The sequence below is a fragment of the Homo sapiens genome, chromosome 18 (genome assembly GCF_000001405.40).
Source record: "Homo sapiens chromosome 18, GRCh38.p14 Primary Assembly".
Lineage (NCBI taxonomy): Eukaryota > Metazoa > Chordata > Mammalia > Primates > Hominidae > Homo > Homo sapiens.
The window spans coordinates 39334563-39360218 of record NC_000018.10 but is presented as its reverse complement, the minus strand read 5'-3'; the positions used below and the strand labels follow the sequence as shown (position 1 = coordinate 39360218).

The window sequence follows — 25656 nt, the reverse complement described above, 5'->3', positions numbered from 1 at the left end:
AAGAAAATGTCACAGACTCCATTGAAGGTAATAGGTTTAGATCACCATTACACTTTCTATTCAATGAGCTGAGGCTGTTTGGGCCATTTCTGTTGGAAAATTCACCTGTTTGAAAAGATTCATTTTATTCAATGCAGTAGAACAAAACAGCAGAGCAGTGAGCCTGCTACACCTCCGGCTTACGCCGTTCCTTATTTCTGCCGCACAGGCACTCCAGTCTTGCCTATGCAGCCAGATCTAATTGAAATATATGAAAACTTCAGAACGCAGGCCATTGAAAAAGGTAGCAGACAAAGCAGGCATGTCATTTTCTTTGTTACCTTCCCTCTACTTTTCAGCACTCTTTCCTCCCATTATGTGCTGTCTGCAGTGCCTTCTTATGCTGTCCTACTGAGAGACAGGACTAGCTGGATTTCCTAGGCCGACTAAGAATTCCAAAGCCTAGCTGGGGAAGGTGACTGCACCCACCTTTAAACACAGGGCTTGTAACTCAGCTCACACCCAACTAATCAGATAGCAAAGAGAGCTCACTAAAATACCAATTAGGCTAAGAGCAGGAGGTAAAGAAATAATCAAATCATCTATCGCCTGAGAGCACAGGGGGAGGGAAAATGATTGGGATATAAACCCAGGCATTCAAGCCCCCAGTGGCAACGGCCTTTGGGTCCCTTCTCGTCGTATGGGAGCTCTGTTTTCACTCAATTAAATCTTGCAACTGCACACTCTTCTAGTCCGTGTTTGAACCGGCTGGAGCTGAGCTTTCACTCGCTGCCCACCACTGCTGATCGCTGCCATCGCAGACCCGTGCTGACTTCCACCCCTCAGGGTTCGGTAGGGTGTCCGCTGGCTTCTGATCCAGCCAGGCGCTGCCCATTGCTGCTCCCAATTGGGCTAGAGGCTCGCCATTGTTCCTGGGTGGCTAAGTGCCTGGGTTCGTCCTAATCGAGCTGAACACTAGTCGCTGGGTTCCACAGTTCTCTTCCATGACCCACGGCTTCTAATAGAGCTATAACACTCACCGCATGGCCCAAGGTTCCATGCCTTGGAATCTGTGAGGCCAAGAACCCCAGGTCAGAGAACAAAAGGCTTGCCGCCATCTTGGGAGCAGCCTGCCCCATATTGGGAGCTCTAAGAACAAAGACCCACAGGTAACACTACCAGGCTTCTCTGAAACCCTCTGTCATATGCTTTATGAGGCCTGCTCTTTGCAAGATGCCCTGGCCTATGGTCACCCCATTCCTTTTTTTATTGATGTCTGGGACAAGTCCTATGATCCATGACTCTGCTAGGAGATTAAAATAATACCAGGCCTAGATTCAGATGTTAATGCAAATACTGGGGTAATGGTTATCCCTTCCAGATACTCCTGCATGTTACAAAATTATTATCTTATCCTTTTTTTGATTTTTGTTTTTAAAAATTTTATTTTATTGATTGATTGATTGATTTTTGAGACAGTCTTGCTCTGTTGCCGAGGCTGGAGTGCAGTGGCATGATCTTTGCTCACTGCAACCTCTGCCTCCCAGGTTGAAGTGATTGTTGTGCGTTAGCCTCCCCAGTAGTTGGGATTACAGGTGCACACCCCCACACCTGGCTAAATTTTGTATTAAATATTTTTAGTAGAGACAGGATTTCACCATGTTGGTCAGGCTTGTCTCAAACTGCTGGCCTCATGTGATCCCTCTGCCTCAACCTCCCAAAGTTCTGGGATTACAGGCCACTGCACCCTGCCCATCTTATCCTTAATAAGCACCTTCTCCAAGAAGCTTCAGAAGATATGCTTTTGGGAGAAGGAAACAGTCTATCCCATATTTGTATAGACCTGATTTGAAGATGTTTGGCCACAAAATTATGGCCTATTCTCTCATCTAATAATCAGTAGTGTACAAAAGGCATTTTGTGTGAATGAACAGGAGTCTTCAGTGAGTTCATAAACTCCCATCAGTCTCCCTACTTTCAGCTTTTTTTCATCTAGTATTTTTTAAAAATTCTGTAGAGTGATAAATAATTGCAGCTTCAAACTCTGTTTCCAAATAGATTATTATCCCTAAGCCTGACTTAAATTAATACTGCAACCAAAAGTGGGTATGAAATTAGGCTTTTCCTGTAAAAGTTTCCTATTCATACTTTTTAAGGTTTGTCCAAGATGTTTCCATTCCAGAGACTAAAAATGCATCATTTTTCCAATTTTGTTATTTGTTTTTAAAGGCAATCTTGCATAGTAGTTAACATCTGAGGTCAGACAAGGTATAGGTTTTGGGTCTCAGCTTGTTGACTTATTAGAAGTATAACCATGGAGAATTAACTGTTAAGTCTTAGTTGCTTAATTTACCAAATCTCTAGAAACTGGTATGTAGGGATAAAACACCAAAGTTGGTGTGGAGTTGGGGGAAGAAAGTATGTATATAGGCCTAGTGTGGTGGCTCACGCCTGTAATCCCAGCACTTTGGGAGGCCAAGGTGGGCAGATCACCTGAGGTCAGGAGTTCGAGATCAGCCTGGCCAACATGGCGAAACCCCGTCTCTAATAAAAGTACAAAAATTAGCCAGGTGTGGTGGTAGGCACCTGTAATCCCAGCTACTCGGGAGGCTGAGGCAGGAGAATTGCTTATACCTGGGAGGCGGAGGTTGCAGTGAGCCGAGATGGTGCCACTGCACTCCAGCCTGGGCGACAAGAGCAAGAGTTCATCTTAAAAAACAAATAAAAAAAAAAAAAAAAAAGTATTATATAAAGCATTTAAAGTACTTAGCAAATATATCGCCTTGTAAATAACTATTTTTAAATTATTTTACTACTATTATGAATGAAATGATTAATTAACATGATCCAGTCAATAATATGCTTATAGGAATGAGATTTTTAGAGTTCCTTCATCTGATGAACAATGGATTATCAGATGGAGGTTGGAGTTTAGAGTGCTCACATTAAAGAGCATAAACAGAATGGCAAAGGGGAATATGGGGGGAAATGGAAGCAGACTTGACAGTGTCCCACTTTCTCCCGAGATAGACACTCATAGAGTATTTACTTATGGGACACATTCCAGCCATTGGAAAATGCATCGAACTTTGTTATTAAAAAGCACTTTGGCATTATCATCCTATGAATGATGTTTATGTTGGGTAAGAATCATTAAAAGTTCAGATTCCAAACCTCTGGACATCCTTAGGCCCTCAAATTATTTAGTCAAGCAAAGAGAATTCTCATGCTAATGAGAGCAAAAAATTGGATTCCCCAGTTTACAGAGTATAGCAAACTGAACAAAATTGTCAGCAGAACATTTAAATTACTTTTTTGATAAGCTTGGCTATTTACAAATCATCAGACAATTACATCTTCCAAAAACTATTTAGCATCAATTCACTCTGCCTTTTCAACAGTGCACTTGACTAATTCCAAATAAATTGAAAAAAATTACCTTGCAGATTGCAAGAAACTGACCAAAAACAATTGCTAGGGTTTTAAATTGTATATTGTTAAGCAAAAGAGTTTTCCTTTGCTTCATCACCCGTGTTCCAGACATTAACCCATTCGGACAGAGAGAAAGACAAACAATGAACCTAATACCTAAGACGAAGCTCCATCTTAAGAATCCCTATGAAGCAATTTTCATGAACTTTGAAATGTTACATTTAATGACATGGGGGGAGATCATTCTTTAACGTGGGTTGGTCTTGCAATTTATTATTATTAGCCATAGTCTTCTTACTAAAAAGGAAATTAGAACTCATAAAATGAGGCCAATATTTAAGGGATCCAAATCTATGCCCTAAGAATCAATTATAGCATTCTCCAGCAAAGCAGTGAAACCATAAAAGTTGATTCCTCTCGCTACACACTCTAGAGATGCTCAGGACTCCACTCCTTACCACACCTATTAAGCTGTCCCACAAAACCCGCTCTGCGGAAAAGATGTGCAAGGGAGAATTTTCCTCCTGAAATAGCAGGGCTTGGACAATTCCTCAGTCCATCTAAGAAAGTACAGAGGACAGAGAGCAGTGGTGACTCTAGTTGATGGAGCTTGATAAATGTTATTTCAGCATCCACAGATCTTAGGTGTGTATGCGTTCATAAGGGATGGAATATTTTGTATTCAGATATGGGGTACTTCTTTTATTAAAAATGTGTCTTAGTCACCCCCACAATGAATTGGTTTTTAATCAGAGAAGGTTTTTTTTTAAATATTATGTTAACTTCAACATTCCTTAAGAAGAAAATTAAGACTGTTCACTTAAAAATAAATAAAAAGGAATTTAAACTCAAGTATCAGTAGTAAATAAGTTCATGCTTTATTTTTTTGTCTGGACCCTCTCCTAGCATTCTCTAGTTGCCTTGGAAATGATGGCCGTGACTATCTGAAGACTGAAGTGATTGCACCAAGAAGTCATAATAGGCAGATTTCCCTCAATCAGTGCACCGCCTTCCATGTAACCTTGTCTTTGAACATGTATGCCTTTTTTGAGATGGACTAAACTGGTATGGTGTTTAGGGTAACATTGAGATGATGAATTCTTCTTGATCAAAGAAGTGGAAATGTCAAAAGCCTATTATCAAAAATACCAGGGGTTCTGTCTAGGTTCTGCTGCTTACTGCACAGAAAGCCAATCACTGAGACAATTAGTATTTCCAAGGAAGAAGGCTTTCATTGGATGCTGCAGCAGAGGAGAACGAGAGATAAAGTCTCAAATCTGTCTCCCTGACCAACTAAAATTGTGGTGTTTATATAGCAAGGAAGGCAGGAAAACAGGAATTAAGGAGAAGTATGGAAGCAATCATGATAGATGAGGACTCTGGTATCTGGTTGTTTGGTTGCAATGATCTCAAGAGTTTCAGTTCCTTGCCTGTGGGTTGGTTTCCTGGGGAAAAAACTCAGAGGAGACAAATGTAAGTTTCAAGTTTTAAGACCAGGGAGGGCCAATTTCTATGTTTGTTCAAAAAACCTTAAATATTAGCTCTATGGAACAATGGGTGGGTTTCATCTTGATGGATATAATGTATATTAAAGATGTTTTAAAATCCAGTCAAAGGAAAAAAATTCACGAGGTACTGAGAGTGGAGATAAAGCTGTAAGTAAAAGGTAGATATAAAGGTCATTGTCTTCTGTGGGCTTTATTCTGCTCCCACAAAAAGAGAGGCTTCTGAGGGGTAGAGAGTTTTTAGCTAAACAATGCATAACACTTTCACCCTGTAAATCAAGGTTTCTTGAGGACTTTAGGAAAGGTGAATAGATTGGTATTGCTCCAGTTCATTTCTTCTATCAGGGGAATGACATTATAGGACAGTGATTAAGTAAAGACATATTAACAGTCCAGTGGCCAAATATCCTCTGCTTAGGACAGTTTTGGGCAAAAGTAATTAATTTGATTTACAACAGCTACTGGTCCTAGAATACACTTGAGACTTTTGTCTCTCTGTAATTGTTAAAAATTTTCTTAAATGATAAAGAAAACACAGACACATGTGTTAACCCTTTGTTATTTATAGTACAGTTGTCATTCTTATCTTGGTAGTTATTTTATCCACTATATGGTTCTAGGTTTAATTTCCTTCAAAAGTCATAATAGTCTTTAGCTGAAGTGCTTACAACTGATCATTAATTTAGCTTCAGGGCATGAATACTAAAGAAAAAAGATACCAATTAAATTTCAATTGGCTATTTTTTTAAAGGAGCAAACAGCAGAATCCCCATTTCAATTTAATTAACTTGGGAGAGGAAGTTAAAGAAACAAAGAAGGTGAACTTCAATATTTTGTACTTATATATACTGTTTCAAAGAAGTTTTTCTAGAAATTTTTTCCATATAAACAGGAACTGAACATAAAAAACTGTAAGGAAACAGAGAGTGCTGACTACACAGGACAATTACCATTGCCATTATTATAAATTTTATTATATTTTGCCACAAACCCAAACAATAGTCTCTGTGATTATGAGGAATACTCCATTTTTTTTCTTGTTTAGCTTCAAGCCACCTGGAATGACAGAGGTCTGTGCATCCCATACAGCTTGAAAATTTTTCAAATTATTCCAGGGAGAAATGAAAAATGACATTTTTCAGTGCATGAAAGAGAGGTTGTTCCTCACAGAGGAAAGACTATTCCTCTCTTGATGGAATGGTGAAGTACAAGAAAGAATGCAGAAAAATACTTTCCTTTAAGCCATACAACTCATTTTCTTCCTTTCTTTTCACATTTGTTTTCCTGCCAGGCCACTGCCAGCTTTATGTCTAGGTAAAAAATTCAGACCAACCAAATAATATGATATGAAGGTTGCAGATCACTTATTTGACCTAAAACAGTACTGTAAATTTAACCATTACTGCCATATTTTCAGAACTCTCTAAATGCAAAAATCTAGAAGTGTGAAATAGTAATAACTTGAGGTGAATTTATCTTATTGGATTCCTAAGGGTATAGTAAAGATCTGAGGGAATAGTTTTGTTGTTCATAGGTTTAATGGGATATTTACTTGTAAGGTGCGTTGCTTTTTTGAGAGTACTGGAAAGAAGCATGAAGTGAAGGTACTTGAATTTAGAGGTAAAGAATTCAGCAATAGTACACTTGAAAGATTTTATCTCTCTCTCTCTCTCTCTTATCTATCGATCAATAATTTTAATACCTATTTCTATGAAGAAAGAAGAAAAGGAAACTTTGGAATGCTGTCTGTATGTATTAAGCACATATAGAATCATGGATAAATTGATTTATTTAGAGATTAATAATAATCAAAATGTGAACCCACTGTCAATAATTTTACATACCTTCTCTCACATTTGTCAGAATTACAATTTGAAGACAGAACTCAAAGACTTTAAGTTTTGTTATAAGAAGTTCTGTTTTCATTGTCATAGCCTAAGATGGTCTTGCTTCCTTGAAGACATCCAGATAGGTAGTAGTAGAAGATGGGGCTCCTGTCCCATTTTCGTCGTGAGGCTGTGACTGGGGTAATTGCCTAAGCTCCCAAAGCCTTAGTGACCCTATTCATATTATTCTTCAAATATGTATTAAGCCTTATTTTGTGCTAGGTTCTACTCTAGGTACTGGGAATACATCCATGAACAAAACATGGGACCTGCTAGTCAGGGAAGAGAGTTAACAAATGAATTAACACATAAACATATTCCAACATGGGAAGTTTATGGAGAAAAGAAAAGTTAGATGAGAGGATTGGCTGTCAGGGTAAGGCCTGCAATTTCATTTAGGGAAATTACCAAAAGCCTTCCTGATAAGATTAAAGTAGAGAACTGAAGAATCCTGATAAGATTAAAGTAGAGAACTGAAGGACTTGAAGCACCGGAATGTGGGTGAGTCCTGGAAGCATCAAAGCCCACCATGGGGACACTGAGGAGAAAAATGTGTCCAGTGTGCAGTGAGGGAAGGGAAGAGTGGTAGGAGATGAGGACTGAGAGGTGGGGGCTCAGGCAGAGCATGGAAGAGGAAGGTCGAATCCTACCCAATGGGCTTTGCAGCCGTGTAAGAACTCTGCTATTACTGAGCAAAAGAAAAGAAACTCTTGGAGAGTTTTGAGCAGAAAGTGAACGTGATGTTTATCTAATACCACATGAATGATAACAATATCTACATCCCTGGATTATTATAAAGATAAAATGAGATAATGCTTGAAAAGTCAGCACATAAAAATTGCCATTGGCTTCATCAGTGCCAGCTACATCTAACACCACAAACTGTAAAATCCGTTCCATAGGCTTCTCCACTTTCTTAGTGTTCTTTTCAGTGTGGGCTTTACCGCCCAACTAATCTGTAAACTCCCTGAACACAAGGCCTGTCTTACATCTTACTTTGCGTTAAAGAACCTAAATTTGCCCCGGTAGCTGATTTAAGATTTATGTGAATTGCTTGATTAGTATAAATAAAAGCAATGAACTGTATTAGGCATCAGCTCCTAATGCAAGCAAGCCTTATCACTGGTGAGAAGGAGTGTGAAAACAAGGCTGGGAACAATCCCTTTGTAAAGAATTAGAGCAGTCCATCCCCTGACAATTACTCATTCAGACCCTTATTCCTGAAAGTCTTTTCTTACTAATTTTTCTCACAGAATCCTAGCAAAGAATTGGATATAATTGTAAACAATATGATTTAAGATTGTTTAATAAGACTGTGAGTGTAAAGAAGTAAGCCTAAAATACATATTTATACATATTTATATTTTTACAAACTTAGTAAAAATATTTTTTTTCTTTTTTTTTTTTGGCCTCCATTTCAAAACTGTAGTCTTTAATTTGAATTTTCTCTTTCTGAATCAGGCCAAAATATTTGTTGAGTACTTATAGCAGGTTCAGAAGGGCTGAGAGCATGCAGCTGGCCTCTCTCTTTCCACATGTCAACATGAAGGAGCAATGAATTTGGTTCTAGGCTCAGCTTTGCTACTTTGGGCAGCAGAACCTAAGCTGCACTTTAGTGCCTGGTTTAACTATAAAAGCAGGTATCAAGCATTTACTGTGTAATGAATCACAGGGACGTGGAGGTAACCAAGCATGGAAAAATATATAAAGCCACTTCTTAAATTGTCTCAACTAGTCTGCCACTATCCCCCCTGAATATATGATCATTTATAATTAGAGGGAAAAAAAGTGAAGTCAGTAAATTCTGACTTCTGTCAACTGAAGAATGGTGAGGTTCAGATATTTGGAAAGGAGAGCTTTATTTCTCATAAATGGTTGCAGCCTGCAAGGTGGCCATTTTGACAGGCTGGGAAGCATAGCCTCCAGTCAGAAATCAGAAACAGAAACTTCAAGTGAGAGGTAAGGGGAACAGGAATTTATGCTAAGCAGGGTGGCTGATTATACATATTCAATAAACTATAGGAGGAGTCATGAATATTTATAAAAGGAGAAATGTGCACATGTGCAATTGAGCTTCATGCCCTCCTGGGTCCCATGTACAAAAAATGGCTGTGTAACCTCGAACCCAGGGTGGAGTTTTCAGCCCTCTGATGTCAAAAGGTGAAGCACAGGACATGAAAACCCTCACTACACATCTGCCATAGACTGGCCAGAACCACCCTGTGGCAGATGGTCTCTTACCAGGAAGGAATGTTGGTCAGTTGTGTCAAAACTGCAAAAAGGGGAGGGCAGCCTCAGGAGGTTGAATAATACCAGCAGTGGAGCCAGTCTTTCCAAAGGGTTGGTTTCTGCTTAGCCCTTAGGGAAAAAAGCCTAAAGGCAATTAGGGAGGGAGGAGGTATAATAGGGTGCATCTGGCCTGGGGTGGTGGCTCACTCCTGTAATCCCAGCAATTTGGGAGTCCAAGGCGGGAGGATTACTTGAGCCCAGGAGTTCAAAATCAGCCTGGGCAAAATGGTGAGACTTTGTCCGTACTAACAATAAAAAATTGGCCAGGTGGGATGGTGCATGCCTATAGTTCCAGCTACTCAGGAAACTGAGGTGGGAGGATTGCTTGAGCCCAGGAAATGGAGGCTACAGTGATCCATGAATGCACCACTCCAGTATGGGCGACAGAGCAAGATCCTGAATCAAAACAAACAAACAAACAAACAAACAAAAAGTGGGGGAGAAGGGAGGCATGTCTGACCTGTTATCCCTTCATAGTCAGAAACTTGGTTTTCAAGGTTTCTCTGGGGTCTCTCTGGCCAAAAGAGGGTCTGTTCAGTGGGTTTGGGGGCTTAGAATTTTATTTTTCTTTCTTAATAGTACATTTTAAAAATGATTAATATGAACTGTAATGGCCAGGGAAAGCTAAGTGAAACAGGCAAGTTTTAAGATGAATTAGAGTCACAATTTTTTATTTTGCTTTGCAGTTTAATATCAGGCTTTTGGTGAAGTCACAGGTCTTCCTCCTCAGCTTAATTTAACTTGCTCACTTTGTCTTCTTTCTTGGTCTTTAAATCTTTTAAAAATTCCAGATGCACATTACATCCCATGTGTTTTATTAATTTAGCTAAGATGATCCTATTTGCTCTTTTACTTATTTCTCATATTTTTTTCCCTCGGATATTATTGAATATTCCTAATTTTTCACCTCCTGAATCTGAGGAGGAAATTCAAGGTTGCACCATCTATCACATTTCCCCTTAGAAATTCCTCCAGGACTCCTGGTTTATGCGAGCATCATCTACCTCTGGCAGCCATTTTGCACTTCATGCTTCCCTTATTAATGTGCTAGAAATGTAGCTGATTGCCTCTGTGGCCCCTTAATTAAAGACAATTAAAAGTTGCTGGGTTACCATGGGGATGACTGATTACCCAGCGGAGTTCACATTTGAGAAGATGAACCCTCAATAGCCCTCTTGCATGAGAAACAAGGACTTAGCCCTCAGGCCCCTTTATTTCATTCCCACAATACTAAGAAGTTACCTAAGCTTTTATTAAGGCTGAAACTCCAGGTCCCTTTTCATACTACAAAACAGTTTATTAAGTGTCTCTTTATTCCCCTCTCCCAGGCTTCTTCTTAAATATGCTATGACAGAATGCTAGATAGAAAGGTACTTAAAAAGCTAGTTAAACAAGCTAAACAAACCAGCTTGGCTAACTAGAATCATCACAGTTTGTTTCATATCCCAGATCTGGAGAGGGAATCTTCTAGCTTGTCCCCTGGTCCTCTTGCTTCCAGCCCAGTTTTTATTAACTAGTATGCAGATTAATGTAAACTGTCCCTGACTCATTGCCTCAGTCCTGAGTTGGCAAAGGCAGAGACAAACTACTGGGTTGCCATTTCTGCCCCAGTCTTATTAATTTTGTTAGGATGACTCCCTGAGCTTTGATAATTGGCCACTGTAAGGAGAAGATGAAGAAAGCAGAAGTTAAAAGTTAAGGCTTCAATTTAGTCTGGTCCTTTAGAAAGCCGATAACTGACTCAATTATTTCCCCTAGTTCTTACGTTACACGTTATTTTTATTTATTTTGCTTTACTGAGCTCCATAGTCTGATGCCTGATCCTGTTTTCTTTAAGTTTGCCATAGAGGAGAATCTTCCTTGAAATGTCACTGTTATCTCATGAATCAGTAATACGTACACACTGTGCCACAATTCCTGCTGGGGATCAATTGCTCAGCTCTTCCAGTGCTATCTGACAGGCTAGGTCTTCTACTGACTCCAGCTAGACCTGTTCACTGAGTGGCTGCCCCACTCCTTGATCTGGTTCTCATCTACTCCTAGCACATGAAACCTCCTGAAGGGGAATCATCCTATACCTTGTCAAGTCACAAAAGGTTTTGCCTTGATTAAGTTACTGAGAAGACGTTAAACTGCTTTCGCCTTAAAAGACAGATTTAAGGCAAAACTGTGGACTCATCTCCTGTCTGTGTAAGGAACTCACACTTCCTCATTTATGTGACCAAGCATCCAAGACTTTGGTCCTTGCTGTTTTCAATGGATTCTATCCTCAGAAGTTCTAGGTAGGTTCTCATGATGATTATGGATGTCTAGATAATTAATTGACCAAGGCGTCTCCTCTATTCTAATATTTGTCCTCAACTCCTGCAGCAGCATATGATCCCCTGTTGAAGACAGACAAGTACATCTTTCTGGTGGCTCCTAGACCTGGCATTGGGAACAGAAGATTATCAGTATGATCCGTACGCTTAAGGAAAGATCTCATATTATTGAAATGAATATTTTATTTGATAAATTGAACTACAGAATAAAGTACTTTTAACAAACCATACTTTCTGCAGTGGTTCTTTCTTTCTCTTGTTTCTTTTCTTCTTTCCTTCCTCCCTAGCTGTTTCCCTCATTCTCTTCTTTTTTTCCTTCTTTCTTTTCACTTCCTTTTTTTTTTTCTTGATTAGAATTCTAGAATTTCTACTTAATTCAAGAGATTCCTACCATCTGAAATGCTTGGTTTCAAAGGGTGAGAATAGTAACCCACACATTTTTTTTCAATACAAGGGAAATAATAGAAAGATTTGTGCCTTACATTTCTTCCCATTCTTCCTACGACTATATGTTATTCACAAAAGCACATGGCACTTGAATTCTAACAAAATTGTATTACTGTTAAAGTGAGCTTCTCAAATGCACTCTGCATGTAACACTCCAACAATTCATGATGGATTTGCTGCCTTAAAAATAAAATAATCTTAATAATTTTTAAAACCAATAAGCAGAAACTAATTTCAAGAGCCTGCTTTGTGTGTTAGATTCAGAGCATAGCACTTAGTGTTTTCCTCAGATAATGGAAGCATAATAGGTGTGAAAGGCTGACAATTTGGACTTTGTGGGTGGTCAGGAAGGGGTCACTCATGGGGCCACCTGTCCTTTGTTCATGAGCAGCACAGCCATGTTTTAAGTAGTCCTGGGGTAAGGTTCCCTGGCACTGTGCTCTCAGCAGGATGCTAGCCTGACCTGTAGAGACCACCTCCGAGAGTGTGTGTAGTTCACTTTCCGGGACCGGCTCTGTCCTTGATCTCCGTGCTGTGACTGACATCAAGGTGACCAATTAGTGAGCACCATGATGGTGTTTTCTGTGATGTTGTAAGGGCACAGAGGTCACAGGCGATTCAAGCCCAGCTAAATCCCAGGAGGCTGCACAAAGCCATGTCTCTGAAGTCTGACTTCAACACAGCATCCCGCAAATGAAGGTATGGCTCCTTTTTTGAACTTGACCGGGAACCTGCTCACTGAGCAGGTGCCTGAAATGCAGCTGCTACAGCAATTTTGAATAGCAAAGACATTTACTGATTGCCAAAACCCAGCTTTACCCTGAAACAAGGTAACCTGGGTCATTCTCAAGGGGAGATGAAGGCTGAATGACTAGGAAGAAAAAAATAGCTTTCAGGGTTTTTAGGGTTTAGGGGCTAAACTACAGTAAGTGAGTGACCACATATCAAAGTTTTCTTTCAGCTTCCTTCTCCACTACATAATTTGTCAATATTTATTTTATATCAGGGTAACAGTCACGGAATCTTATTTTGTTTCTCATTAGAATTTGCAAAGAGCTTTGCCATTCTAACAACGCTCTGAGTTAAGGGGATTAATTGTCTTCAAATATCTGATGAAACAAATTGAGATTTCTAGAAGCTCCTAGCCTTTTCTTTTCCACTCATTTGTATTCTTTGCCCTGTTTAGTTGGCAACTGCACAGGGCCAGTTCAGTCAACCCAGAATGAAGAATTGGCTGCATCCCTGATGGAGAGGCCAAAGGTCTCTGCACCAGCAGGATGGGCTGCTCTGGGATAGTGGAAGGTAGGAACAGGAGGCAGCTATGATTATTGAGTCTGGCATAGAAAAGATCAGAGATCATCAGCTGAGCACAATTCAAAATACAGCCCAATGGTGAATTTTTTACCTGTACACAGACCAGTTCTGTCTGATTTATTCTACTGAGATGTAGCTTTGGTAGAATTGTCAGATTTAGCAACTAAAAATATAAGCCATCAGTTACATTTGAGTTTCATACAAAAAGCAAATAATTTACATATAAGTATGTCCCAAATATTACATGAAGCACATGTATACTATACATACACACATATATATGTATATCTACACACATAAGCATATATATATATATATATGCTTTGTTTATCTGAAATTGAAATTTAGCTTGGTGTTCTGTAAGTTACCTGGCAGCCCTAGGTTCTGGGGTCAGAAACCCACACAGCCATGGAGACCAAAGAGCTGAAAGGGTTCTGACACCAACTGGTAAAAGTGGCCAAAATTCCGTTAATGGTTGGGAGTAGGGGGAGACAAAGGTCTGGATAAAGGGAGACACTGATATTTCCAATGCTGCTTTATGCCACACACAGTGCTTAATTTTTCTCTTTGTTTGTTTTATTCTCAGTAAAAAATGTACAGAGAAATGCCACCAAACTATTCAATATCACATGGGGGGTCACCTGACTTAGTAGCACGTGATCAGAGCCGGTTTATAGCATCCTTCTACTTTCTGTTTACATCACCTCTTCTTCTGGTGTTGAGACCCTGCATAGTTTCTTTTGGCTTCCACACTCACCCAGACATGTTGTGGGCATTCCTCTCCCTAGCACCCCACAAAAAAAGAAATTTGAAATCTGTTCAGTGCCCTCTATCTTCTCAATTTCTTATGAAGTGGTTAGAGCTAATTCCGTAGACTAAGTCATGCCGTCTTAATGGATGGTGATAGTTTAAATTACCAACACACATGAATAGAGCCTTTAGGGACTTTATCTTGACTTAGTGGCTAAAGTGTGCATCTCTAGCAATTAGGGAGAGGATATTTTCCAAATAGAGAGCCTCTCCCTGTTTTTTAAGTCATGCCATATTGAATATTGCTTAGAAGTAGAGATTAATCTATTTTCAGAGAATGGGAAAATTTTTGGACTCTTCGGTTACATTTAGGCTAACTTTCAAGTGATAGTCTGTGTTCTCCTGGAGAATTAACACATAGCCACTACCTACCCTATTACTTAAGACTGCCTTGTGAGTTTTGATCTCACACATTTCATCAAATTCTGAAAGGCTGCCTTTCTCAATCCTGATGGCAATATTCCAGATCACTTCCTGCTCTCCCCCTACAAAAAAAAAAAAAAAAAAAAAAAAAAAAAAGAAGAAGAAAGAAGAGGAACACTCACTAAGCTCATTGATATATACCCTAAAGCAACACACAAGAATCTGGTTATAATATAAACACAGCTCCATGATTTTCAGATGAGAAAGGCTATAAAATGTGCAAATGCCAAGTGTCATTATAATCACAGAGTCATCTTGCTAAAGAAGCTCATAATTTCTCAGACATTTACGACAGCTATTTCTGCCCCCATGGAGATGAGTTATAATCAAATACAACCACAGGCCATTGTCTCTGAGCCAAACTCCAAGGCAACCTCCATTAAAAATTACCAACATTTTTCATTTGTCTTTATTTTGTGTAGTGATTATGTCTGGGGAGCAGGACACCAGACCAAAGCATTGCACTATCTAGTGAGGCTGGGATGCTACCGGATTTTAATCTAAAAACATACTACTACTCTGACTGGCATTTGTGTGGACAAAGGAATGATAACGATTTACAGCTGAAAATCTCTTTATTTTCCCTCTTGAATATTTATACTTGTTCTTCTCTCTCCCTATTTCTTTCTGTCTAGTTTTCCCTTCCTATATTTTTCTTCCTATCTTATTCTCCCCTCTTCTCTCCCTTTCCTCTCTTTTTTCTCTCTTTTTTTCTTTCTGTGTGTTAGTGCTGTGACTCTTACTGTTAATGCCAGAGGACTCTTCTTGAACTGACAACTGAATTGCCAGTGTGAATTTCCAGTGCTCTGGTTTATTTTCATTCACAGTTGTTTTGGTAGGATTTCAAACTGTATTTACAAAACAGGAGAAAACGAGCCCATTAATCTCCTTTGCCTTCTCATTCTAACATTCTAACTTGCTGTATTTCTTCAAACTCTTTTTTTTCTCTCTTTCTCAGAAATAGACTTTGAAAATAGACTTTGGTACCAATAAAATTAAGCTGATAAAGTTGTGTCAACTGGAATCCCAAGATGTGTAGGGTCCGATTATCATCCCTGCTCCTGTTTTGTGATCACTTGAGTCTCCCATATAGGTGAGAGCCCCTGTAAAGATAAGAGCCCCTGTGAAGATGAGAGGAGAACTTTGCACAGGATGCCACTTTGATGTGTAGACGTTTAACCTGGTTTGTCCTTGCCCGCATGTTTCTATAGCTTTGTCTTTTGCTCTTCCCCTTGTCATTTGATCGTTTTTACTTATTCAAAGGCTTCATTCCTATACCGCCAATTTACTTCTTGCTACTGGATCATTTCCATCAGTCTCAAGACATGTTATAATCTTAAAAGGAAACAAACAAACAACAGTAACAAGAAGCAATCTTCCATTAACCCACATTTCAATCCAGCTACTGTCTCATTTCTCTTCTCCCTTTGTGGCAAAACATTTCAAAACATTGTGTATATTTATGTGTTTGTGTCTTTTATACACATACTCTTTCATGCTATTCTGAGCCTATAGTCATCCCCATTACACCCAAAACTGTTTTTGTCAAGGTCACCACCAAGTTGTTAAATCCAATGGCCAATTCTTATACCTTTGTTTATCTGTAGAAGTGTACTCAGTATGGACAACTGGAGACTAACAGTATAAAGAAAATAAACTTTTCTTAGAAAAGAAGGCTTGATTAAAAAATAATGAGTCGGTACTGGAAGAACGAGGTGAGTTGATGTCTTAAATTCTAGTTCTGGTTTGGTGCCCATCAGTTGAGAATTGAGACAATGAATGCAGGATTATAAAATTGGAAAAGCCAGAAGCCAAAACTACCATTTTAATGATGTTACCATGGGACACTGGGGGTACAAACTGTGGAACAGTGGCATTGGAAAAATTTTTGTAATAATGATAATAACATTAAGGAGGGCATCTCCATATTGGTGATGCTTGAACATTGTTTTGCAGAAGTACTTGTGGAATCAGAATTAGGGGTATTGGTCATTTGCTTAGAGCAATTTACTAATTATTTTATCTATGTTCTTCAATATACTATATATGGCCTATTTCTTAACCTAAATAGATTTAATAGCATGTAAACCCATTTATTGCAAGATTGTGTATTGACACTTGAGAGTGTTGCTGCTTTCTGGTTGCTGAGTTGTCAGGAGCATTAGGCTCACAGGGAGAACTTTAATTTGCTATCCATACTCAGGAGTTCTGTCTGTGTTTTTACGCTTTCTCTTCCCTACTCTGATTTGGTTGTCATTTCCTGTTGTCAGAGTTTTTATTACTTCTAATCTATTGTGAACTGAGAAAACAAAAACAAATGTGCTGAAATTGTGTCTAAAATAAGCCAAAGAAGATCTGATTGAAGGCCATGTGTCTTAGTCTGTTTTGTGTTGCTATGACAAAATACCACAGATTGGGTAATTTACAAAGAACATAAATTTATTTCACACAGCTCTATAGGCTGCGAAGCCCAAAATCAAGTTGCCAGTGCGTTTGGTTGTCTAGTGAGGGTTTGGTCTCTCTTTCCAAGATGGCACCTTAACACTGTCTCCTCTAAAGGGGAGAAATGCAGAAAGTAGGAGAAAAAAGACAAAGTCCCTCTAGCAATCCCATTTAGAATGGCATCTAATCCCATTCATAAGGAAAGAGCTCTCATGACTCATCACTTCCCAAAAGCGACACCTTCCAAGTCTGTTGCATTAGGGATTAACGTTCAACATTATTTTGGAGGGGAAGAAGCACTCAAACCATAGCACCATGAGAATGACAAAATAAATTTTGAATTTTTTTTTTTTTTTTTTTTGAGATGGAGTCTTGTTCTGTAGCCCAAGCTGGAGTGCAGCGGTGCAATCTCGGCTCACTGCAACCTCTGCCTCCCAGGCTCAAGGAATTCTCCTGCCTCAACCTCTGGAGTAGTTGGGACTGCAGGCATGCACCACCACACCCAGCTAATTTTTGTGTTTTTAGTAGAGACAGGATTTCACCATGTTGGCAGGCTGGTCTTGAACTCCTGACCTCAAGTGATCTGCCCACCTTGGCCTCCCAAATTGCTGGGATTACAGGCCTGAGCCACTGCGCCTGGCTGAAATTTTTGATTTTTAAGACCTTTAACTTCCCTAATCTGCCTATCTAGGTGCATATTCCCTTACTTATTTATATCATATGTGGTTTCATGCCTAGATGTTTGTGTCCCACTCAGTATCATAAAACTGACTAGAGATTCAGTATTTAGAATAGAATTCCATCCCAACATCAATTTCACCTGAGTTCTACAACCCAGGTTAATCTCCCATCCTCTCAGGTACTATTGCTTTAAATGTCTAAAATGTATTGGCACATAGTACAGCCCTCCTTCTATCTTTATCTTTCTCTAAATTTACACAGTCTCTAGAAGTAATTTATGGGCTCCCTGAGGTCAGAAACCAGTTTCATCTCATTTCGTTTTATTTTACTTTGTTTTAGGTATTTATATCTACCTTGTTCTAAAAAAAGATTTAAAGTGACTAAAAAAATACCCACAATTCTGAAAAATAAATGCATAAAGAATGAAAAATTAGGAGGACAGAAAGTCACAGTAGAAAATAAGATGAATTCAAGGGTGAGATTGATACATACAAGTGTTTGCTGTGAGGTTCTCTGCAATGCTCTAGATAGGTTATTATGCGTCATCTTTCTAACCGCAGACCCAAAGATGAATTATTGGTCAGACGCTTGATTTACAATAGATAATAACACAGATAAACAAGTAAACAATAACATCCAGTCGCTCAGGGAGAGCCTACTTATTTCTCATTTTCAGAAATAATGTCTCTAGGGGTCTTTATAAACCTGATGCTGTATCAAGTAGTGAATAAAGTTTTTTTTTGTTGTTTTTCTTGTTTTGTTTTGTTTTGTTTTTGTTTTTGTTTTTTGAGACAAAGCCTTGTTCTGTTTCCCAGGTCGGAGTGCAGTGGCCTGATCTCAACTCACTGCAACTTCTGCCTTCCGGGTTCAAGTGATTCTCCTGCTTCAGCCTCCCATGTAACTGGGATTACAGGCATGCACCACCACACCTGGCTAATCTTTGTATTTTTAGTAGAGACTGGCAATTTTTTAACAGTATCTCCACATTAAGTGTCAGCCAAAGAGTTTCATCTAGCTATTTTGTATAATGGCCTTAAGCTCAGGCTAAGGCACAGGATCAAGAATTAGATTTTCTACATTGTTATGCTCACATTGATTCAGGCCATTGATACAAACAATATTCAAAGGAAAAACAAGCTGCAGTATGCCTCTGGAATAAGCCAGCACACAAATTGAACACACACATATACATATTCTGTGAATGTTCGTTTCAGATTACTTTGTGCTTTTATTTGTCTCTGGGAGTAAATGGGACATTTCTAATGAGTGCTCATCATTTTGGCAGCCAGACTACTCACAGATGATATGAGCCGCTAACCACCAGGGACAATGTTTGCCCAGATGTGACTCTATCTTATGCTACAAAGCATTGTAAATGTCAAACCCCTGGTTGGTATGCAATTCTCCATTTACCATACACAAAGCCTGCTGGAGAACAAAAGGTGCCAGATATGGATGTGTAAATCATTATAATGGGACCAACAGATCAACAACATCACCCCTTAGAAATAGGATGGCCTGAGGTCACACTTCTTAGATCACTAGCCCCTTTTCAAAATGTCCTTTTTTGTTTGTCCTCTTTTTCAAGAGGCACCACAGGCTTTTTGTAATTAAAGTTGTATTGATTTTGTATTTTTAAAAAAGGATTATAAAAAGACTAGCATGAACCAGAACAAAGGCAGATAATGGATGGTAAACATGAGGAAAGATAATAGTCCAGCAATGCGCTCATAATAATTCCCACATACCTGCTTCCCAAAGTTGATTCAGATGCTACTTTGTTTTAAAAGCTATCCTATGTACCAGCAATTTTCAATAGTGATCCTAGGCAGTTACTTAGGTTGATTATAGCAATTTTGCTACATCATGATATAGCAAATTGCTATATTTTTGCTATATCATGCTATATTATGATTGCGGTCTTTTTATTTTCCAAATCTTTAATTCATTTTAAAAGAAAGGTTTGTTCCAGGATGGCAAATACAGTGGTTGAAGCTGGGGGCATGATGATAAAAGAACTCTAGAACTTCAGGATTCTCCATTGTTCTGGCATTGCTGCCCACCAGCAGAGGATCAGGCTGACATCTTCAGGAGGCATATGGAGGTAATGGTTAACTTTGCTACAGTGAAGACCAAGGTAAATTGGGTGCACTGAAGAGAAAAACCTGACCACTTCTGCAGCTGTGCATCTGGAGTCTGGTAGGACCCTTCAGTCCCTTTTGAGACATTAATTATAATGTGCAATGCTAATTTACCAAGTTTTTCAAATCTGTGGATAGAAAGAAGTCATCAGAATAGGTATGCCAAAAATCTCCCCAACTCCAGCCCCCTGAAGGTGTCTCCTGAGTTACATCTGTGTTCTCGCCAGGATATGTCACTGGTCTGGTCTTCTCAGTCTGTGACTGCACTGTATGTCATCTGCCACGTTCTTCCTGTCTCTCTTATTCTGCTTCACTGACTCATGTCTTCTGTCTGAAGAACATTTGACGGGGCCTTAGCCTTGCCGTCACTCCCATGGCCAACCAAGACAGTGCCATATCTGGGGTGGTAGGATCTCCTGCCACTTCCAAAGCCACTAAACTGTATACTTTTCCATCTAGGCTGTTTTCCAGAATGAAGATATCACCCCTCTCTACCACACTTCATCAACATTTCTTATCTTGACCTCTATAGGACTGCTGTTTCCTCGTGTGAAATCAGTAACTTTACTAACTACACTTGGGCATCAGGTCATGTAATTGAACTAAGGGCAGAGATCATGCTGCTGTCTCTGCTTTCTCTTTTTTTCTTCCCCTTTGCTGCCTCCCCTGCCTTACTCCCCAGGGACTCATGAACAAATTCCCTCTCCATTTCAGTCAAAACCTAAAGTCTTTGGCAAATCAATTCAGATAAATGAACTGGTGTTACTTGAATCTCAGTTTGTGTAGAAGATTGAAACTAAAGAGAAAATGGAATGTTAGATTAGCAGTGGTTTCCATATAGCTATCTGGTGCTTACCAGCTAGCATGCATAATGGGGAGTTGACTAAAACAATCAGATGGATCGCTGGAATAGCTAAATGAAAGTGATTGATGTGACACTTGTGTAAATTATAGGGGGAAACTCTAGCACTTTGAGTCAGGAAATCTCTGATCTAGTTACAGCTCTACTACCCACTAGTTGTGGGACCCTAAAAAATATAATTAAATTTTCTGGGCATAACCTTCCTTTTTCTATTAAATGTAGTAAAATATACTCTCTCAAAGTCAATTCTAGCTCTCTGCTTCTAGGAGAATGAACTCCTATGCGGATTCTTTAATACAAAACAAGGATATATTTATTTTCCAGGTATAGCTTTGAAACCTTGCTAGATCCTTAGGAGAAAGTCCATAGGCAATCACTAAATCAATATTTAACGAATATCTGCTTCAAGCAAGGCCTTATGCAAAACACCATGAAAAACCCAAAGGCTCTAAGGACGTGGTCTTTTCTGTAAAGTTATTTTAAGAGATAAAAGAGCCATGAATGTAAATGAAGTCAATCTCTGACTCCTGCAGCCAGGGGAATGGAGTATAGTTCTCTGTGCTTGCATGGGATGATGTGACAAGAGAGGTTCTGAGACTGGAAATGGGCCATGCTAGGACTCTGGTAGAAGGAGGAAAGTGCGCAGCCATGTTGATAGGAAAGAATCAATAGAACAAGTTGGGGGTGTGTCTGCTGGAGGTGGTTTTTTAGGAGGAGAAAGCCCTGCTGGCTGGCAGCAGTTCTGGGATTCTGAGGGAAGACATTTGGAGTTCATCCCATTCACTCTAGGGAGCAATTGGAGGTTTCTGTTTTTACCAGGAGAGTGAACAACTGTATTCTTGAGATAAAGGTTTCCCCGTGAAGATTGAATGTTGATTTCATATTAACCTTTAAATTCTGAGGTGACACTGAGAAAATCTGACTTAGAAAAATAAAGGAATGACATCACCAGAATCTTTAAAACATCTATGAAGGTAGTTTGAAAAAGCTCATGGGGAGTGTCTTCTCGGGGAGAAAGAGATGAAGAAACAAACATGAATATAAACTCTACATTTGGTTTGTGCCTTGAAGCCATTGGCATTAATTAAGATTCTATGGCTTCCAAACAATTATGACATAATTAAAGTAAGATTCTTTCTACAGTAAAACGATAAGAAATGACTTTTAGAAACCATGGGAACCATTAAAACGGCACATCAGTATCAAAATGAGCAATATTTACTAGTATTAGCACTATTAAAATGCCTTTTGAAGACAAACTTGGGCAATTATTACTCAGAAAAACTCACATTTGGAGATATAGAGCAGTGATAATTAAATCCCACACTCTATATATCTCTCTTTTTTGTGTTTGACAGAACAGAGTCTTTAAGATTCTATTTTAATGGCATTGAATTAGCAAGAAATTCAAACAGAGAAAGGGCACTTAGCAGGAGGTTGGTATTCAAGGAGACACAGCCTTCATTATTATTATTGTTATTTTTATTATTATTCTTACTCTTTTGGAGGTACTAAAGCTCCACTTGTGGGATTGGAACATGCACAAATAAGTTCAGTCTCTGGCTCATAAACTTTCTCTAATGGGTGTAGCACACCCTTAATTAAAATGGACAATGCACAGCTAAGCTGGATGATTATGCAGGTCTAATAGATGGAGCACTGGGGACTTGGGTCATTGGTTTGGATCAAATGGTGAGACTGTGTCCAGCTGGTCAAAAGCATCTTGCAAAACAAAGTTAGGGCTTCTAGGGAATTTTGAGGCCCTGAATCCTGGACAGGCAAAAACATCAGTCCAATTAAAGACAGCTTTAGTAGAGGTCAAAGATTGCTTATTTTCTTTCTAGTATATGTGAGTTTAAACACATGCACAGGAGGTGTGTATGTCGGGGTGGGGAGTAATTAAAGTGAGAAATAGAAAAAAGACCGTGAGGAGCCAATCATTTCCACTCAGTGGGACCATCAGATTAAATCATGGTGGCCCTTAGGAGGGATGTACTTAAGGAAGAATGGGAACTTAGGTGCCACTTACAGCCCCCAATCACATTCCAGCATTTATTTTAAAGACTATAATGAGACTGCTTCTGAAAGAGAAAGCAAATATTCTCCAAAAGTATTAATTATTCTAAAATAGATGAATGAGAAGGGACCAAAAGCTATACACCTTGAATGGAATCTGGTTATGTTCTTTTTTTTTTTTTTTTTTTTTTGAGGTGGAGTCCCACTCTGTCACCCAGGCTGGAGTGCAGTGGTGCGATCTCAGCTCACTGCAACCTACGCCTCCCAGGTTCAAGTGATTCTCCTGCCTCAGCCTCTCGAGTAGCTGGGATTAGAGGCATGCACCACCATGCCCGGCTAATTTTTGTATTTTTAGTAGAAGAAGTGTTTCACCGTGTTGGCCAGGCTGCTCTCCAACGCCTGACCTCAGGTGATCTGCCCGCCTCAGCCTCCCACAGTGCTGGGATTACAGGCATGAGCCACCGAGTCCAGCCTGGTTATGATTCTTAAAAAATATACATGGAAAGGACTAGAAGACATAACATCTGCTACTCTCAGTGATCCGTTGTGAGGCCTGTCTATGTGCTGAAATTTCCCTGATTTTTCATTTTTTTTTAAAGGCTGAATGAACTGGTCTTAACAACTGTGTATACAATTACAATGCTATACAACATGAAAAAGAAAGCACATTTCTAGAGTTACTTTCTATAGTTTTGAAGGCAATTTTTAAAGAAAAGTAAGAAATAAAACTCAAAGTCATCTAAGACTGCCAATGTTATAACTATGGTAGATTTTTAGTTAATTGTTTTCTGAGGTTTAATGTTGCTGATGTCAGAAAGGTCACCAGGTTGTAGAGAAAATAGTCTTAGATTTCAAAAGTGAAGAATCCAAACTAAGGAGGTGTTATATCAGATCCTAAGCTCTCAGAAGGGATAGCTGGAAAGGTAGCAGCATGCAGCAGGCAGGGTGGGAGGTGGGATGCCTCCCTGGAACGCTGGGTGGTGGGTTTGGTTACTAGTGAGGATCCAAAAATGCAATTCACGTTTGGTATATGACTTTTCATGGTTGGCATGACATTTGTGTGCACAGTTTTCTGCTTAGACTTTAAGTTCCTAGGAGGCAGAAGGCACATCTGATGAACTTTTTGTACATAGGGCTTAGATCTACCCTTTTAATACTTGTAGGATCTCTGGACTCTTTTGAGTTCAGATTTCAGAATGACTGGCCCTACAGAAACAGAACCATTTTGGAAACAGGAGTACTGATGGTGATGAAGTAAAGAAAGCCTATTTCTTCATCTGTAACTATTCACAGCTTATTAGAGGAAAAAAGTTGTCCACATGAAAGAAATAGAGAACAATGAAGATCAGGCTAGGAGCCCTTACCTGTCCACTGGAGTCTCTTTTTCACCTGTTCTCATTGATAATTCTTCTCCCCCGCCACATTGTCTTACCTACCATCTTATTTGCTTTAGCGTTCGCTTTTCCATCTCCTGGAATGCCTTCTATCCTGCTCTCTGCTGGTCCATTTTATCCCACTTGGAATTTTTACCTTCCTCATGCTCCTATAGTACTTACAAACCATACCCCAAAGTTAATTCTTTAGTCACGCACTCATCTGACTTGCCCTAGAATTCTTTTGTGCCCATTAGCTTTGTCTTCCTGGGAATGTTAAAGCTTCATAGATGGAGAGTTTCTCTTATATTTCCTGTGGCATTGCACAATGTTGGGCACATAATTTTTATGACAGATAGATTGCCACCGAATAAATACTTTTGCAGAATATTTACAAATATAGAATATTAATTAGGTTATGTTAGGCTAACTTATGCTTAGGCTATGCTGAGATAAGAAACAACACACAGCCTGGGGCAGTGGCTCACGCTTGTAATTCCAGCACTTTGGGAGGCCGAGGCAGGTGGATCACCTGAGCTCAGGAGTTTGAGACTAGCATGGGCAACACGGTGAAACCCCATCCCTAATAAAAATATAAAAATTAGCTCTCCTCCCGCCGCCCAAGATGCCGAAAGGAAAGAAGGCCAAGGGAAAGAAGGTGGCTCCGGCCCCTGCTGTCGTGAAGAAGCAGGAGGCTAAGAAAGTGGTGAATCCCCTGCTTGAGAAAAGGCCTAAGAATTTTGGCATTGGACAGGACATCCAGCCCAAAAGAGACCTCACCCGCTTTGTGAAATGGCCCCGCTATATCAGGTTGCAGCGGCAGAGAGCCATCCTCTATAAGCGGCTGAAAGTGCCTCCTGCGATTAACCAGTTCACCCAGGCCCTGGACCGCCAAACAGCTACTCAGCTGCTTAAGCTGGCCCACAAATACAGACCAGAGACAAAGCAAGAGAAGAAGCAGAGACTGCTGGCCCGGGAGGAGAAGAAAGCTGCTGGCAAAGGGGACGTCCCCACGAAAAGACCACCTGTCCTTCGAGCAGGAGTTAATACCGTCACCACCTTGGTGGAGAACAAGAAAGCTCAGCTGGTGGTAATTGCACATGACGTGGATCCCATCGAGCTGGTTGTCTTCTTGGCTGCCCTGTGTCGTAAAATGGGGGTCCCTTACTGCATTATCAAGGGGAAGGCAAGACTGGGACGTCTAGTCCACAGGAAGACCTGCACCACTGTCGCCTTCACACAGGTGAACTCGGAAGACAAAGGCACTTTGGCTAAGCTGATGGAAGCTATCAGGACCAATTACAATGACAGATACGATGAGATCCGCCGTCACTGGGGCGGCAACGTCCTGGGTCCTAAGTCTGTGGCTCGTATCGCCAAGCTCGAAAAGGCAAAGGCTAAAGACCTTGCCACTAAACTGGGTTAAATGTACACTGTTGAGTTTTCTGTACATAAAAATAATTAAAATAATACAAATTTTCTTCAAAAAAAATTTATAAAAATTAGCCAGGCGTGGTGGCACACACCTGTAGTCCCAGCTACTCAGGAGGCTGAGATGGAGAATTGCTTGAACCAAGGAGACAGAGGTTGCAGTGAGCCAAGATCATGCCATTGCATTCTAGCCTGGTAGAAAGAATGAAACCCTGCCTCAAAAAAAACAAAACAAAACAAAAAAAAAAAAAAGGAACAATACACAAATTTCAATGGCTTAAAATAGTAAAGGCTTATTTTTCAC

At 39.7% G+C, this 25656-nt stretch overlaps 1 long non-coding RNA gene and 1 pseudogene across 1 annotated transcript in view; both read left to right on the top strand.

Annotated features, from left to right (window-relative positions):
* MIR924HG (MIR924 host gene) overlaps nucleotides 1–25656 on the top strand; it is a 545072-nt gene that overhangs the window by 391777 nt on the left and 127639 nt on the right. The gene's annotated exons all lie outside the window — the stretch shown is intronic.
* On the top strand, nucleotides 24527–25406 carry RPL7AP66 (ribosomal protein L7a pseudogene 66; annotated as a pseudogene).